General features: G+C 37.2%; 1 protein-coding gene across 5 annotated transcripts in view; it reads left to right on the top strand.

The window, feature by feature from the left end:
- Nucleotides 1-18688, top strand: part of POTEF (POTE ankyrin domain family member F) — a 55688-nt gene that overhangs the window by 23313 nt on the left and 13687 nt on the right. For 3 of the 5 annotated variants that reach the window (NM_001099771.2, XM_047445721.1, XM_017004833.2), the window contains 5 exons: nucleotides 3730-3800; nucleotides 5190-5234; nucleotides 6274-6440; nucleotides 12402-12472; nucleotides 17773-17843. In NM_001099771.2, coding sequence (NP_001093241.1) covers nucleotides 3730-3800; nucleotides 5190-5234; nucleotides 6274-6440; nucleotides 12402-12472; nucleotides 17773-17843 — 425 coding nt within the window. The remainder of the gene's footprint in view (nucleotides 1-3729; nucleotides 3801-5189; nucleotides 5235-6273; nucleotides 6441-12401; nucleotides 12473-17772; nucleotides 17844-18688) is intronic. The other 2 variants (XM_017004834.2, XM_017004835.2) reach the window with 2 other exon arrangements.

The raw sequence follows: 18688 nt of genomic DNA, 5'->3' as shown, positions 1-18688 counted from the left end.
TTTCTGTTTCTGAGGCTGAGGAGGGGGATTGGGATAATAAATATCCCAATAGACTTGGATTTCTTCTTCAAGAAAGAATAAGGAATGGCTATTGATAGGGAGCCAACAATGTGTGCTGCAGGGGCTCATTGGAGAAATTTGAGCAGGGGAGTCACAAGATTAAATTTGAGTATTAAGGCATTCTGGTTATGGTGTAAAACGGGTTAGCAAGCTTTTTCTGTAAATGGCCAGGTGGGCAATATTTTAGACTATGTGGTCTCTGTCATATCTACTTAACCCTGCTGTTGTCTGCTGTTGTAGTGTGAAAGCCACCATGATTATATGTAAGCAAACAGGCATGACTGAGCTCCTATAAAACTTTATTTACAAAGCCATAAGGCAGATTGGATTTGGCCTGTGGCCTATAGTTTGCTGGGATTGATGGAAGGTTCTTTACCATGTAAAGAAACCAGGAGACAAAGGAAGTTTTCGCAGTAGTCAGCTATAGTTTCCTTGTCATACATCCTTGGAGTAGCATCAATGTATTACAAGGTTTTCACCCGTCCTTAGTGAAATACATAAAGTTAGGAATCTCAACTACTTGTTTTAATATGTTGGCCTTTGTTTTTTTGGTGTTATGCTTTTTTCATTTGTTTTGCTTAATTTTTTTTATGTAAGAAATAACATTAATAGTTGGCAGGCTTTTTTTTAAATAAAAGCCATTTTGTAAATGTTTGTGTTCCCAGTGGCAGTGGGAATATAAAGCAGAGGCAGAAGAGAGGTATCGTCAATATGATTTAGTGATAATTGAATGAGAAAGGCTTGGGGGACAGAGAGAAATGTCAGATAATTTCCAGGTTTCCAGGTTGTACAGTAGTATTTAACCTGGATGTGAGGACGAAGGAGGAAATTTTCTGGTGAATACAGAAGAGCAAAGAGCAGCAGGTCAGCAGGAATGACTAATGTTTTTCTATGCACGTTTAATGGAAAATTCATGTAGGATATTTTGAATAGGTAATTGGATAACCAGCATTTATAACTCGCATCCTACTAGTTTGACTCTCACTAATAAGACTTGTCAAAGATCCAAGAATCTGAAAGTTGATGATAAATGTCCATGTGTATCACCATCAATGATCAAAAGTTAGCATCCACAGACATAGAATGGGACAGATGAACTTAATGGATAAAGATGAATATCGGAGTTGTTCCTTTTAGGGAATGATACTCTCCATGACCTGTGTGAGTCACAGCTGCCAGAAAAGAGCGAGCAAGGAGCGTATGAAGGCAGCACAGCAAATTCAGTCCTAGAGTGCCCTGCTTGACTTCATGTCATAGTTCTGACTTCTAAAAAATCATTTTCTGTGAAATACACTTTGATTTTTTCCCCGCTTGCAGCCTGCAACCAAACAGAATCCCTTTAGCAGGGCATTTTTGTGTTCTTCCTTTAAACAAAGCAATATATAAATAACAAAATGAAAAAAGAGAAAGAGTGTTTTTTGTATAGGCTAGTATTTAACATAAACTTGAGAGTGAGTACCAGGATTATAGTTAGAATTTACGGACTGGGTAGGAAGACTGGATAGAAATCTAAAGATTGCTGACTCAAACACAATGTGGTTTCTTTGCTTTATTGTCACAGCTCTGAATTCACAATTATTAGTTAAATTCATAGGCACTATAACTTTAGAAAGCACCTTCCCAAACCAAGTATTAAGTGATTTATTATAATTTCTCTGACTTCTTATAGAATTGACTTTCCAAGTGTTCATGAGAATTATTGAGAAATTGCTACATAGTATCATCTCAGCTCTGTCCACATGAGCTATCTGTCACCTTGTCTTAATGAATAATTGTTCAGTAGGAATATTGGTTTTGGCATTTAAAGTGATCTATATCTAAATGCAGATAGGATCAGGGACCACTCTTGAACATTAATGTCCAGGCATCTTAAAATTACACATAAGGCTTTCATAATCTGACTTCTGCCCCACTCTCCATCTTTAGGCCTTTTCCCTGTGTGCCCTTTCTCTGGCATTACTGAGCTGCTGGCAATGCCCTACTCACTCATCCTCCTATTGTAGGCAAATACTTTCACTCTTTCAGGCCTCGCTCCCGCTCTTGCTGCTGCGTGGCATGCCGTCACCCTTTCCTGCCCTCTACCCCTTTTAATCTGGCTAGTCTCAATATTTAAGTCTCTGCTTGGGCATGTTTTCTAGAAAAGCCATCCCTGACATGCTTTATTTTAATTCTTTTTAAACCCTAATGCCTAACATGTATTTAGCAGGACTCAATAAGAAATTTCTGAGTAAAATGTGAGTAAGATGATGCTCAAGACTGTCCTCTGCAGTCTTGGAGCAGACGGGACAGACATGTGGAGGAATAATGTACAGTTCAGGTGGTAAAGATGCAGTAGAAAAATCAGTGAAGTACTAAGGCAGCCTCAAGGAAGGAGGTACCTGTTTATCTGGGGAAAGACATGCAGAATCAAGGAAGACGTTCTCATAGCATTGTTTTAAAAGATAAATATAAGGACAAGTGTGGTGGCTCACACCTCTAATCCCAGCATTTTGGGAGGCTGGAGCAGGCAGATCACAAGGTCAAAAGATCAGGACCATCATGGCCAATGGTGAAACCCCGTCTCTACTAAAAACACGAAAATTAGCTGGGCATGATGGTACATGCCTGTAATCCCAGCTTCTCCGGAGACTGAGACAGGAGAATCGCTTGAACCAGGGAGTGTCAGAGGTTGCAGTGAGCTGAGATTGCGCCACTGCACTCCAGCCTGGTGACAGAGCAAGACCCTGGCTCAAAAAAAAAAAAAAAAAGAAAGAAAGAAAAATGAAAATAAATGTGTCAGAATAGTGGAGGAAAACATTTTAGATATTGGGAAGACATTGTACACTAATAAAGGTGTCAGTAGTAATTTTTGAAATCATTTGTAAGGTACTATTGTTGCAGAAAGCAGGAGGCAGGAGAGACCAAGTGGGTGAAACAGGAGGATTTCATTTAGGTTCGCAACAGCTCAGCAGATTTGCATCCGAAAGCTGAGCCCTGAACAAAGACAGGGCTTGGCTTATGTAGGCAAGCTTACAGAAGCAGAACAAAGGCAGTTAATCATATAGTGACAGTTTTGCAACCTCAGCAAAGCTTATGACCTTGCAGCTGCATTGAAGGTCAACAGGAACTTGCGAATAGTATGCATTTGTAAAAACAGCTCTGAGTGAATGCTGAGGGGAAGGGGAGACAGTAAAGGATTTTGTTTTCTTAACCTTGCTCTGGGATGTCTGGAGCCCATACCTGTGGGCTCTGGCTTCTCAGGCAGGGTCACCACGACCTTTCCTGGGCCCTGCTTGTTACTATCCTTAGAGTCAGACTAGCTAAGTGCGGGAAAACTTGTTTCTCTTTAAAACTAAATTTCCTTTTCTTTACATTTACTGCTTCACTATTAGGAAGTGGAGAACAACATACTGTGTTACCTTAGATGCTTCTACTGTATTTTAAAGTTGTGTTTCTGGTGGTTTTGTTCATTTATGTTGGGTGGATGAATTTGTGAGTGAATGACATCAGGTGTCTCCCCAAGTGGTTTGTTGAAGTTTGGGAGAATTATTTCCTAAATAACTATTTCATGAAAAACTAAACACTCAATTTATGAAATAAAATGTTGTCTTAAATCTATTTTTATAAAGGCAATAGTTTTTAACTGTTCTAAGTGGTTCATTTTAACTGAATATATGGATTTCTCAACAGAACAAGACTTAAAGCTGACATCAGAGGAAGAGTCACAAAGGTTCAAAGGCAGTGAAAATAGCCAGCCAGAGGCATGGAAAATTTTAAATTTAAATTTTTGATTTAATGTTGTTTTCTTTGCTTTAATAATATTAGATAGTCCAAATGAAATTACCTTTCAGACTAGGTTTTGAGAATCAATAGATTTTTTAAAGAATTTTTTAATAGATTGTTAAAATTTATTTTAATAAATTCAGTAATCTCATTAACAGAAGAATGGATTCTAATTTAACATTTGATATTTAACTTAAAAAACATAACCACTATAAAATTTAAAATACTCTTATAATATTTTTATTTAAAATACTCTCATCTGCCTTTTTGATTAGCTTATAGCTAATCTTTCCTTTTGGAATAGAGGCAAAAACAAATTGCAGAACTTTGTTCTTTTATTTTTACAACACCCGAACATGATGAAGAAGGTACATCAATTATTGGATTATGTTATTAAGCAATAGAATTATGAACAATGTAACTCTGATGGTCCCTGAGCTGGATTCATGGTTAAGGAGTAATCATGGCCAGTGATTGAAAATCTGCAGTTTTATATTGTCAGTCATTGATACCAAGCTTAAAAATATATTCTGCCTTATGGTCTCTCGTTGACCTCAGCGTTTCTGTTCAGGGAGGGAACCAGGTCATAAAAGCAACACAGCTGCCTATTACAAGAATCATATCTTGCAGAATGGAACCTTTGGTGTTAGTGCACAAACACAATAACATTCTAATTTATTTCAGTTGCAGAAAATTAGTACATATTGTTAAAAAATCTTTATCCACTGTAATTAGTACACATTAGAATATATTAGAACTGGACTTAAGCAGATAATCTGGATACATAACACTATCATATGACAGTATATAATCTCAATTAAAATTTGAGAATTTGCATCTCTTTCTGTTTGGTGTTGATTTCGGCTCCTAATAATTTAAATGGTGCCTACAATCCAGTTAGGAATCTTTTAGAAAAGCACTTCAGTGCACTGTAGGGGCTCACTAGTTAGGGTTTCATGAGGTAAACTCTTTTCAAGTGAGGAAGGTTTTGCAACACTACAAATCATCTGCTGATTCATTTTTGGTAGATTTAACACATAACAAATTAAGTTTAGTCCAAACAAATGGTGACCAAATTAAGTTTGCTGGTTCACGTTTTTTTTCTTCATTGGGCTAAGGTGAATTATTTTTCACATGTTAGTCAGAAGCCAGTAATGTGGCAGTAGCTAAACATAGATTAAAAAGTTAATTCTTAATTTTAATTATTATTTATTTAACAGTTAAATTTTAATTTTAATTATTTTCTAATTTTTCATTGTCCATACTTGATTAGTTAAGAATAAAATTTTTTTAAAACATGCGCTCCAAAAGAGGACACATCACAGAAACACAACAAGCAAATTAACCTTCTGTTTTTGCCTCTGCAGAAAATGTCTCAAGAACCAGAAATAAATAAGGATGGTGATAGAGAGGTATACCTTCATATTCAAATGTTTCTGTTGAATTAGATTTTTACATTATGTTGTTTAACAAAATGTAGTAAGTGTAGGCATACATGATCCTATCATGTAAGTAGCATAAATCATCAGTGAAAAAGTTAATATTTAACTCAGAAAGAATTCTGTACATTGAGTTTTCAAGAGATACAAAGCCTAGAGATATTCTTTGATTATTATGGAACAATCCTGAATGGTGCTATAAAATGCTAGGTAATGCCACTTTAGGAGCTTTGGACCAATCATTTTATCTTTCTTGGTTTTAGTCTGATTATCAATAGATAATGTGGCTAAAGAAGATAGCTTTTTATTCTGTGTATCTTCCAGCTAGAAAATTGTATGGCTATTCAATGTGAAATTTGGGGAGCATCTCATTTTCTGGAATTCCATGCTTGCACGTCAGCAGTTTCACTCTGCTTCTTGTGTTGTGGCAAACTTTGGCTCCCATTTTCAGTGAGCACCATCATGTTTTTGATATCCCAGCAACCAAATGAAAAAAGAATGCTCAAAGGCAGTGGGGTAGAAGAATATCTTAGCGCAGAAAAGGGCAAACTTCCTTTCTATTCCTGAAGCCGCACAGTGTGTCATCCTCTAAATCTGACTGTTTAATGTAAAATCTAGGTGGTAAAGACGGAAGAGGACACATTTTGCATCTTTGTCTTTTTATTTGTGTGTTCCCATGAATCAAATGGGGTAAATACATACATAAGATTCTGAAGAGTGATTGAGAATAAAAGCACAAAATGAAGGAGGGCCCTTTTTGAATTTTGGAAAATTCTGTTTCATTCATTGAAACAGAAATGAAGCAAACTTTACAAAAATTTCTGTGATATATTAATGAGATGATAATTACATCTTAAAGTTATATGGTAATATTTCTATATATATGATCAAATTTAAGTGTGAAATATTTTTAATGACTAAAATAATGACAAACTGAGTCAATTGATAGAATCAATTAAAAAGGTTCTTTTTATTCAATAAAGTGATAACTATCCTTAATATCCCACTCAAGGTTGAAGAAGAAATGAAGAAGCATGAAAGTAATAATGTGGGATTACTAGAAAACCTGACTAATGGTGTCACTGCTGGCAATGGTGATAATGGATTAATTCCTCAAAGGAAGAGCAGAACACCTGAAAATCAGCAATTTCCTGACAACGAAAGTGAAGAGTATCACAGGTAAGCCTATGGCAACATTGAATAGAAGATAACTATGTGCTGTCAAACTAACCCTAATTTGGGCTAATATTCATGATGAACAAATTTTATAGTTTTACTAGGATATTCAGCCTTGCCCGTTAATCAGAAAAATGAAAATCAGCGAACAATGAGTTACCATTTTTCCAGGCATTAATTTATTTGAAAAATAACCAGTATTGGCAAATGTGAGGGAAAAGGCATTTTCTTTTCTTTTTAGTGAACTTTTCTTTTAGTTTCAGGGGTACATGTGCAGGGTTATTATATAGGTAAAGTGTATCATGGAGATTTGGACTGCAGATTATTTCATCAGCCACATAATAAGCAAAACACCAAAAGTTAGTTTTTTGGTCGTCTCCCTCCCGCGACGCTCCACCTTCAAGTAGACCCTTGGTGCCTGTTATTCTCCTCTTTGTGTCCATGAGTTCTCATTATTTAGTTCCCAGTAATGAGTAAGAATATGTGGCATTTGATCTTCTGTTCCTGCATTAGTTTGCTTAGGATAATGGCCTCCAGCTCCATCTGTGTTGCTGCAAAAGAAATGGTTTCATTGTAAAAGACATTTCATACACTGCTGGTAAATACATTTTGAACATTAATTTAGTAGCATATTCACAAACACATGTATAACAATAAGGATATATAATATATGTAAAGGATATTTGTGTAGATTTGTTACATATATACTTATGTATAAGGACATTTATTACAGCATTATTATATCAAAAAGATGGATCCTTATCAATAGGAAATTATCATTATCAAAAGTAAATCATTACCAATAGGAAATAGCTCAATTTTCATACCCAGAAATTAATGTAGTATGCAACCATTTTTTACAAGTGAGGTTAGATCTAGAGTATACTGATTATTTCACAATTAAAGTGTATTTAAAGCATCAGTGATGACATCTTAAGAGTTCTTGTTAAAATTCTTGTAATATTTCCTGTGTTGCAAATGGAAGCTACATGCTATATTGATGCTGTACCTTGTTAGCAACAAGATTGCTAGTCATTAAATTTTTATTGTCAGTGCCTGAGTGCTGAAATATTGGACCCTCAATCTGAATATTGCCAAGGGATTGTACATGGGGATCTGTATTTAATATAAACGTTTCAGTATATTGGGTAAAACTTTTATTAAAATATATCAAAGGATCTTTCATCTGCTAAACCAGGAGTTGGCCAGCTTTTTCTGCAAAGAGCCAGTTAGTAAATATTTTAGGCTTTGTGGACTATATAAATTAATTTATTTTTGAGACAGGGTCTCACTCTGTTTCCCAGGCTGGAGTGCAGTTGTGTGATCATGGCTCACTGAAGTCTTGACTTTCTGAGCTCTAGTGATCTTCCCACCTCAGCCTCTCTACTAGTTGGGACCACAGGTGTGCAACATCACACCCAGCTAATTGACACTGTGGACTGTAAAGTGAATAAGCATGGCTGTGTTCCAAAATACTTGACTTACAAAAACAGGCAGTGGGCTGGATTTGGCCCAAGGTGCTAATTTGCTGACCCTTGTGCTAAAAGGAAGGTGCTGCAAGTGAAGTGACTCCTATTTGTAAAAGTGCCCTGCGTGTGTGAAATTATCCTTCCTTTGAGAAAAGGATATATTTCAGTATTCACCTCACCATATTTTTCCACAGTGACTTCATATAATTTTAAAAATTTCATTTATAAAATAAGATTATTTTCTGCATTTCTCCCACTTTATTCCTGTTAATAGAACCCAGTATTTTGCTGTGATCAATTATTTTGTATATTTGATGAGTATCAGTTTTCCTAGAATTGGCTGATTTTATCAAGCAAGAAATACTCTCCTTGAAACTTTTAGTATTTCTTGGTCTTTATGTATAAGCATGAATAAAATGATAATCAGCTTATGTGTAATCTAGAAATGTTCAAGGCGACTTTTAGTTCTATAGTTTTAAGAATTTAACACCTCAGTCTGGCATTTTTAATGCCACATGTGTATAATTTTTATAACCTTTAAAATATATAATTGTTATATAAAATTTGAAAACTACACCTGTTATATAAAACTTGAAACTATTTGTCTATTACTTTTCCATGACTGTGGAAGAAAATTACAACATTCTCAGTCATGACTCCTAAGCATGATGTCCTTAAAAGAACTGTCCACACTCACGAACTCAAATTTTCTTTTCATTCACTCTTAATCTCACACCGGCGTCTTCAATTTCAGCAGTCCTCCAACATTGTTTTTCCTCAAGATTATCACAATTTTTTTCTGTAAATTATGCATTTTTCTTACACCTCATTTTATTTAATCTGTCAGCAATATTTGAGCCAGTGGAGGGCGTCTCCTCCCTAACGGCGTCTTCACTTGGCTTTCAGGTCCTCACTCCCTCAAGCTTTTCCTCCTGCATTTCTAGTCCATTCATCATGGTCTGTTTTGCTTGCTCCTCCTCATCTTTCTCCTTTTGGACATTGTTGTTTCCCAGGGCTCAGTCCTCAATCTTCTTTCTCCTGACTTTTTCTTTTTCTTTTTTTGAGACGGAGTTTGACTCTGTCCCCCAGGCTGGAGTTCAGTGGTGTGATCTCAGCTCACTACAACTTCTGCCTCTTGGGTTTAAGTGATTCTCCTGCCTCAGCCTCCTGAGTAGCTGGCATTACAGGTGTGTGCCACCATGCCTGGCTAATTTTTGTATTTTTAGTAGAGACAGCATTTCCCCATGTTGGCCAGCCTGGTCTCAAACTCCTGACCTCAGGTGATCTGTCTGCCTTGGCCTCACAAAGTGTTGGGATTACAGGTGTGAGCCACTGCACCCGGCCCCTCATGACTTTTTCTATTGTGTATATGCTAGTGATTTCCAAATGTATGTCTCCAGCTCAGATCTCTCTCCTTAATTCCAGATTTTTTATATCAGCCTGCCTACTTGACGTCTCTATTTGGTTAGTTATTGGGTATCACACACTTGTCAGATCCAAAATTGGGCTACTGATGTCCTTCCTGAAATCTACACCTCATGTAGTCTTTCCTACTTTGGTTAAGGGCAACTCTTCCAATTGCTCTGCCAAAAATGTCATTGTCATTCTTGACTCATCTGTCCCTCTGACACCTCATATCTAATCTTTCAGTAAATCTTGTCAGGTCTACCTGAAGAATATGACCAGAAGCCAGTCATATCTTGTACATCTGAGCCACTGTCATCTGCAGTCATGAGTGTCATAGACTGGGAATTGATCGTCCTGGCTTTTAAAAACTTCCCTTTTCATCAATTCTTAACTCAGTGGATGTATTTAAAACATAAGTCAAATTGTGTCATTCCTCTTCCCCAGCACTTCTGATTGCCTCCTTTTCACTCTGAGTATGGGTCAAAGTTCCTCCTGATTATCTCCCTTGCTCTGCTTCAGCCACACTGAATTCTTGCCATCCCGTATCTACCCCTAGTGCTTAAAGACTCCAGACACACCTCTGTGCTTGGCAGTTCCCTGTGTCTGGGATGCTTTTCCCCCAGATATCCTCCTAGCTTAACTCTTTCCATTCCTTCAGTTCTTTATTTAAAACCGCCTTTCTAAGAAGAAGAAGACAAAGGGTAAAAAGAAACACATTAAGGAACATCCACTTTCTGAGGAAGAACCGTGTACTACCCAGACGCATCATGCTTAAGATGCAATTGGCAGCATACAAGGAATGCTCTCTAAGGTAATCAAGGCAAGGTTCAATGAAACAAAGTGATTTATCATCTCTAACTTCAAACCTATTTGTATCTTGACATCAACGCTGTTAACCTTATGTCATCATTTCTTAGAGTCTTTGATATACAAATAAAAGGTTTTTTGTATTAGAAAAAAAAAACCCTTTCTCAGCAGGGACTCTTCTGGCCATCTCAACTTTCCCACCACCCTCCCCATCAAACACATAAACATTTCATTTTCCTGCTTTAGTTTTTCTCCTCTAACATACCGTATATTTTGCCTTATCTGTCTGTTGTTATTGTGTGTTTTTCTCACTGTCATGAATAGGGTTTTTATTTTTCACTACCATATCTTCACTGCTTAGAAAAAGGCTTAGCATATTGGATGTAGCTACCTAATAAATACTTATTAAATAAGTGAATGGAGTTTATCCTGTGTATATTGTTTGATTGATTCTCACTTTGAAAATGTTTGACATGGGTCGGGCATGGTGGCTGACACCTGTAATCAAAGCACTTTGGGAGGCCGAGGCAGGTGGATCATGAGGTCAGGAGGTGGAGACCAGTGAAACCCCGTCTCTACTAAAAATACAAAAAAATTAACCGGGTGTGGCAGCATGCGCCTGTAGTCCCAGCTGCTATGGAGGCTGAGGCAGGAGAATGGCATGAACCCGGGAGGCGGAGCTTGCAGTGAGCCAAGATCGTGCCACTGCACTCCAGCCTGGGTGACAGAGCAAGACTCCATCTCAAAAAAAAAAAAAAAAAAAAGTTTGACATGGTTCTTTCCTAACAGTTTTGCCTGGTAATTGTCTGCATTTTTAAAATCGTTTTGGCTCTTTGTAATAAGCTACATTCTTTATATTAATTTTTTTATTTAGGGAGAAAAGCCCAATATTGTGGTTATTCACTATTTATTCTTTAATAGTAATCATAATTGTCATTATGGTAAACTGAGTCAGAGGAATTGCAAACTTTACTATTTTATTTTATTTTATTTTATTTTTTTGAGATGGAGTCTCGCTGTATCGCCCAGGCTGGAGTGCAGTGGCGCGATCTCAGTTCATTGCAACGTGGGTTCATGCATTTCTCCTGCCTCAGCCTCCCAAGGAGCTGGCCCTTGCATAAGGCGGCCACACAAATTTTTGAAGCATTCTATATTTTGCGCAGTCACTGGAAGGTCATTTGACTGTTTGCTGAGTAGCTTTAAGGAAATGGTGTGAATCAAAGCAGAATGGGTGCCACAAAAACATTGAAATTGTGATTTGCGCAATAAAAATAGTCATGTAAGGTGGTCTGTGAGATGACACCAGAGCCAAATAACGTGTGGGGTGTTGTGTACCAAATATATTGTTAGTATGTATGTTAAAAATTAGAGAATGGCAACTTACAACTTCTTCGTGGAACCTAAAAAAAAATAAAAGTAGGGTTTTCGTCTCCCATGTCAGCTGGAGATGAACATGTATATAAAGCATCATCGTAACAAACATCTGGCTGAGAGTTTGAGTCTGTAGAGAAGGATCATTGGTCCAAGTCAGGTCTTGACATCCATTGGTTTTTCTGCCCTTGGCGTGATTGATCAACTCCGTAATAGTGGACAATCACATTATCTACTTTAATGAGATATTTATGAAAAAATTTAGTTACAAACTATGACATAGTTGAGATGCCCTGAATTAGAAGCCATAAAGAGTAGGACAACTAAGAAGCAAAATTAGGACTTAATAACATTTCCTGAAAACTACAACATTTGCATATTAGAACCTATGAACAAAATTCGCACTGGGTTTTATTTGGGATTCCAAGATAATTTCAGTCATAAAGTTTAGGAACAAATTATTCCATTGTTTTACTATTTCTTTGAGCATTTAAAAAAATGTTATCGTGTTAAATCATTATAACAACCTAGTAAAATAAGGCAGCATAGTCCTCACTTTGTAGAAGACATTGAGCCTAAGAGAAGCAGCTTGTTCAAGAGCAAATAGCTGTTCATTATGGAGCTAGGACTTATTTAGAGTTGGGACACTTTCTATTATGTCAGGCTAATGCAAGTTAATTTACTGGGTCAAAGTGCCCTCGATTTATGAGTATTTCATCTTACTTTTTTTTCTTCTTTAATTAGAAGCTTCATGAGAAGTTTGTAGAACGTACGCATAAGTGGATGGGATAATACTGTTAAGTTCTGATATTCTGATATTGTTTGAAATACTCTAAGAATTTTACATTTGGTAAGTTTCCAGATCAGTATTTTAAAACAGTAATTTTATTTGTTATATTTTTATACATAGAATTTGTGAATTACTTTCTGACTACAAAGAAAAGCAGATGCCAAAATACTCTTCTGAAAACAGCAACCCAGGTAAGACTTGTGATAGTGAATTACTTTAGGTCAGTTGTCCACAATCTTTTTGGCACCAGGGACCGGTTTTGTGGAAGACAATCTTTCCATGGGCTGGGGGAAGGTGGGGATGGTTTCAGGATTGTTCAGTCACATTACACTTATTGTGCTACTTTATATTATTATTACATTGTAATATATAATAAAATAATTATACAACTTACCATAATGTAGAATCAGTGGAAGCTCTGAGCTGATTTTTCTGCAACTAGATGGTCCCTTCTGGGGGCAAAGTGAGACAGTGACAGATCATCAGGCATTAGATTCTCATACGAAGCACACAACCTAGATCCCTCAGATGGGCAGTTCACAACAGGGTTCATGCTCCTATGAGTATCTAATGCTATCACTGATCTGACTGGAGACAGAGTAGAGGCTGTAATATGAACCATAAGGAGTGGCTGTAAATACAGATGAAGCTTCCCTGGCTTGCCTGCTGCGCACCTACTCCTGTGTGGCGTGGTTCCTCACAGACCGTGGACTGGTACCAGTCTGTGGCCGGGGAGTTGTGGAGCCCTGCTCTGGGAGGTCCTACCATAGATTTAAAAAGTAAAAGTAAGGAATTTTTGTTCACAAAAGAACAGTGAAGCACAGGTCATGTTACATATGCTTGTGCCAACAAGGTCTCACTGTTACTGACTTCATTCCTCCTATTTTGAAGTTGAAAGAGATGCATTTACTTTGTTGGAACAAGATGTGTTCTTCCACCGGCTGGTTAATTGTCATGATAACAGTAATTTTGTTAGAAGAAGGTGCTCTGCTACCATTTGCCAAAAGATTGTCATAATGTACAATTTTCCCAATGCAAGGGTCAGCAGATTATAATAAAAATATAAAAATGTTTCACAGTAACAAAAATGCTAGTATGCTACCTGGATGTGGACACCTAATACATGGTACAATCCAAACTGTATGAGGACACCTTTAATTTAGCTACCTATTTATCAAAGAGCTTCTGTAAGTTAGGTTTTATAAGTTGCAGGAGACAAAGATGGAATAGATGTAGTTTTAATCTTTAAGGTGCTCACAACAGAAGTGTTTCTATTTCATTTCTGTGGTTTTTCAACAGAATTTACAAAGAAAACATTTTTATTTATGTTTTCACTTGTCCACTTAACAAATAACTGTCAAATGTCTTTTAGATACTAAGCAGTTTTTCTAAGGCTACAGAACACAAAAACAGACAGGAGCTTGTTATTATTATCATTGTCATTTTTATTATTTTGCTGCTTTATTCAGTGCTTACTGTGTGCTAGATGCCCACTGGAATCTTATAATTATGATTTATTATATGTGATATTGATTGTGTGCCAGACATATGTGATGAGGAGTGAAAGCTTTAGAAAGAAAGGAGGCAGGATTTAATGTAAGCATGCAGAGTGAGAAGAATTTTTCAGGGAAAGAAGCAGAGGAATGACATTTGGCAGAAGGAACATGGAGTGAGATAGTGTGTTTGCCAGAAGGAACATCTAATGAGATTGCCCGTTTGGGAGGAAGAGCAGCAAGTGCAGAAGACAAGATGCTTGAGTGAACATGGCAGGGTTTCTGAGCAGTTCACTTTTGCTAGTACCAAAAGTGTGAGATACCAGAGGTTGGGAGTGAGGTGAATACTTAGCTAAGGCAAGTTTACGATAGACTTTTTAATACTATAGAAATGAGTAGGTCTTTTCCTGTGGGCCATGGGAAATTTACCAGGTAGAATGCTTTGGACTGCAAATACTAGATGAGCAGTGCCTAAAACACTAGGAACCAGAGTTGTTTTTTTGTTCATTGATATCCTAGGGATCCCACTTGTCCCTCTTTCAGCTGTGCTGTTGACAGTGTTTTATTCACGTCTCCTTTTGTGGTTGGCTAATCTGCAGCAGCTCCAAACATCTTGTTCTCACAACACAACATCGAAAGGGCTGCTTTTCTTCACATGTGTCTTTTAAACAGGGAGAAAACTTAGAAGCATGCAAGGGGCTTCCTGTAACATTTCATTGGCTGGGTCATACCACATGCTCATTCCCAAACCAGGCACTGGGAAGGTAAATATCTGATTAGCTTAGAATAAACATTTCTTTCTGAGGCTGAGGAGGGGGATTGGGATATTAAATATCCCAATAGACTTATGTTTTTTCTGCCAGAAAGAATGAGGAATGGCTATTGATAGGGAGCCAACAATGTGTGCTGGAGGGGGCTCATTGGAGAAATTTGAGCAGGGGAGCCACAAGATTAAATTTGAGTATTAAGGCATTCTGGTTATGGTGTAAAATGGGTTAGCAAGCTTTTTCTTTAAAGGACCAGGTGGGAAATATTTTGGACTATGTGGTCTCTGTCATATCTACTTAACCGTGCTGTTGTCTGCTGTTGTAGTGTGAAAGCCACCATGATTATATGTAAGCAAACAGGCATGACTGAGCTCCTATAAAACTTTATTTACAAAACCATAATGCAGATTGGATTTGGCCTGTGGCCTATAGTTTCCTGGGATTGATGGGAGATAATCATGCAAAGAAACCAGGAGACAAAGGAAGCTTTTGCAGTAGTCAGCTATAGTTTCCATGTCACACATCCTTGGAGTAGCATCAATGTATTACAAGGTTTTCACCCGTCCATGGTAAAATAAATAACGTTAGAAATCTCAGTTACTCATTTTACTATGTTGGCCTTCGTTATGCCTTTTTCACTTGTTTTGCTTAATTTTTTTTCCTGTAAGAAATAACATTAATAGTTGGCAGTTTTCTTTTAAATAGAAGTCATTTTGTAAATGTTTGTGTTCCCAGTGGCAGTGGGAATATAAAACAGAGGCAGAAGAGAGGTATAGTCAATATGATTTAGTGATAATTGAATGAGAAAGGCTTGGGGGACAGAGAGAAATCTCAGATGATGTACAGGTTTCCAGATTGCACACTAGTATTTAACCTGGACATGAGGAAGGAGTAGGAAATTTTCTGGTGAATACAGGAGAGCAAAGAGCAGCAGGTCAGCAGGAATGACTAATGTTTTTCGATGCATGTTTAATGGAATATTCGTGTAGGGTATTTTGAGTAGGTAATTGGATAATCAGCATTTATAACTCGCATCCTACTAGTTTGACTCTAAGTAATAAGACTTGTCAAAGATCCAAGAATCTGAAAGTCAGTAATAAATGTCCATGTGCATCATCGTCCGTGACAGAAAGTCAGCATCCACAGAACACAGAATTGGGACAGATGAACTTAATAGATAAAGATGAATATCGGAGTTGTTCCTCTTAGGGAATGATACTCTCCATGACCTGTGTGAGTCACAGCTGCCAGAAAAGAAAGAGCAAGGAGCGTATGAAGGCAGCACAGCAAATTCGGTCCTAGAGTGCCCTGCTTGGCTTCATGTCATAGTTCTGACTTCTAAATAATCATTTTCTGCAAAATGTGCTTTTTGTTTTTCCCTCTTGCCGCCTGCAGCCAATCAGAATCTTTTTAGCAGGACATAATGAAAAGAAGTAAGAGAAAGAGTGTTTTTTTGTAATGGGATAGTATTTAACGTAAACTTGAGAGTGAGTACCAGGATTATACTTAGAATTTATGGACTGGATGGGAAGACTGGATAGAAATCTAAAGATTGCTGACTCAAACACAATGTGGTTTCTTTGATTTATTTTCACAGCTCTGAATTCACGACTGTTAATTGTATTCATATGCATTATAACTTTACAAAGCATCTTCCGAAACCAAATATTTACTGATTTATTATAATTTGTATGACTTTATTATAGAACTGACTTTCCAAGTGTTCATGAGAATTGTTTAGAATTTGCTACATTGTATCATCTCAGCTGTGTCCACATGAGCTATCTGTCACCTTGTCTTAATGAATAATTGTTCACTAGGAATATTGGTTTTGGCATTGAAATGATCTATATCTAAATGCAGATAGGACCCGGGACCACTTTTGAACATTAATGTTCAAGCATCTTAAAATTACACATAATGCTTTCATAATCTGACTTCTGCCCCACTCTCCATCTTTAGCCCTTTTCCCTGTGTGCCCTGTCTCTGGCATTACTGAACTGCTGGCAGTGCCCTACTCACTCATCCTTCTATTGTAGGCAAATACTTTCACTCTTTCAGGAGTCGCTCCCGCTCTTGCTGCTGCGTGGCATGCCGTCACCCTTTCCTGCCCTCTACACCTTTTAATCTGGCTAGTCTCAATATTTAAGTCTCTGCTTGGGCATGTGTTCTAGAAAAGCCATCTCTGACATGCTTTATTTTAATTCTTTTTAAACCCTAATGCCTAGCATGTATTTAGCAGGACTCAATAAAATATTTCTGAGTAAAACAAAGACTGTTTTTACAAAGATGATGTGCAAGACTCTCCCCTGCAGTCTTGGAGCAGAGGGGACAGACGTGGAGGAATAATGTACAGTTTAGGTGGTCAAGATGCAGTAGAAAAATCAGTAAAGTACTAAGGCAGCCTCAAGGAAGGAGGTACCTGTTTATTTGGGGAAAGACATGCAGAATCAAGGAAGACTTCATATAGCATTGTTTCAAAAGATGAAAATAAGGCCAGGTGTGGTGGCTCACACCTGTAATCCCAGCACTTTCAGAGGGAATCACGAGGTCAGGAGATCGAGACCATCCTGTCCAATGGTGAAACCCCATCTCTACTAAAAATACAAAAATCAGCTGGGTGTGGTGGTGCTTGCCTGTAATCACAGTTACTCAGGAGACTGAAGCAGGAGAATCACTTGAACCAGGGTCGCGGAGGTTGCAGTGAGCTGATCACACCACTGCATTCCAGCCTGGTGACAGAGGAAGACTCTAGCTCATAAAAAAAAAAAAAGAAAAAAGAAAAAAAGAAAATAAATTTGTCAGAATAGTGGAGAGAAACATTTTAGATATTAGGAAGATGTTGTACACTAATAAAGGTGTCAGCAGTGATTTTGGAAATCATTTATAAGGTACTATTAGGAAGTGGAGAACAGTACACTGTGTCACCTTATATGTTTCTACTGTATTTTAAAGCTGTGTTTCTGGTGGTTTTGTTCATGGATGTTGGGTGGATGAATTTGTGAGGGAATTTTTGACATGTTTGTTTGTCTTCAATCTGGTGACATCTGCTATCTCCCCAAGTGGGTTTTTGAAGTTTTTGAGAATTATTTCTTAAATGACAATTTCACAAAAGATGAAACACTCAATTTATGAAATAAAATGAAATGTCTCAAATCTGTTTTTAAAAGGCAATAGTTTTTAACTGTTTTAAGTGGTTGATTTTAACTGAATGTATGGATTTTTCAACAGAACAAGACTTAAAGCTGACATCAGAGGAAGAGTCACAAAGGCTTAAAGGCAGTGAAAATGGCCAGCCAGAGGCATGGAAACTTTTAAATTTAAACTTTTGTTTAATGTTGTGTTTTTTTTGCCTTAATAATATTAGATAGTCCAAATGAAATTACCTTTCAGACTAGGCTTTGAGAATCAGTAGATTGTTTTTTTAAGAATCTTTTGGCCAGGCAAGGTGGCTCACGCCTGTAATCCCAGCACTTTGAGAGGCTGAGGCAGGTGGATCACGAGGTCTGGAGATCGAGACCATCCTGGCTAACATGGTGAAACCCCGTCTCTAGTAAAAATACAAAAACTTAGCTGGGCGTGGTGGTGGGTGCCTGTAGTCCCAGCTACTCGGGAGGCTGAGGCAGGAGAATGGCATGAACCCAGGAGAGGGAGCTTGCAGTGAGCCGACATCCACCACTACACTCCAGCCTGGGTGACAGAGCGAGACTCCATGTGAAAAAAAAAAAAAAAAAAATTTTAATAGATTCTTAAAATTTATTGTAATAAAATCAGCAACCTTATTAACAGAAGAATCAATAGATTCTAATTTAATATTTGATATTTAACTTCAACATAACCCACTATAAAATTTAAAATACTCTTATTTTAAAATATTCTTATCTGCCTTCTTGATTAGCTTATAGCTAATCTCTCCTTTTGGAATAGAGGCAAAAACAAATTTCAGAACTTTGTTTGTTCTTTTATTTTTACAACACCCTAACATGATAAAGAAAGTAACATCAATGATTGAATCATATTATTAAGCAATAGGAATTATGAACAATGTAACACTGATTCCCTGAGCTGGATTCATGGTTAAAGAGTAATCATGGCCTGTGATTGAAAATCCACAGTTTTATATTGTCAGTCACTGATACCAAGGTTA

Source organism: Homo sapiens, chromosome 2 (assembly GCF_000001405.40).
Source record: "Homo sapiens chromosome 2, GRCh38.p14 Primary Assembly".
Lineage (NCBI taxonomy): Eukaryota > Metazoa > Chordata > Mammalia > Primates > Hominidae > Homo > Homo sapiens.
Note: the sequence above shows the minus strand (reverse complement) of the source record. Positions and strands in the feature narration are given on the sequence as shown.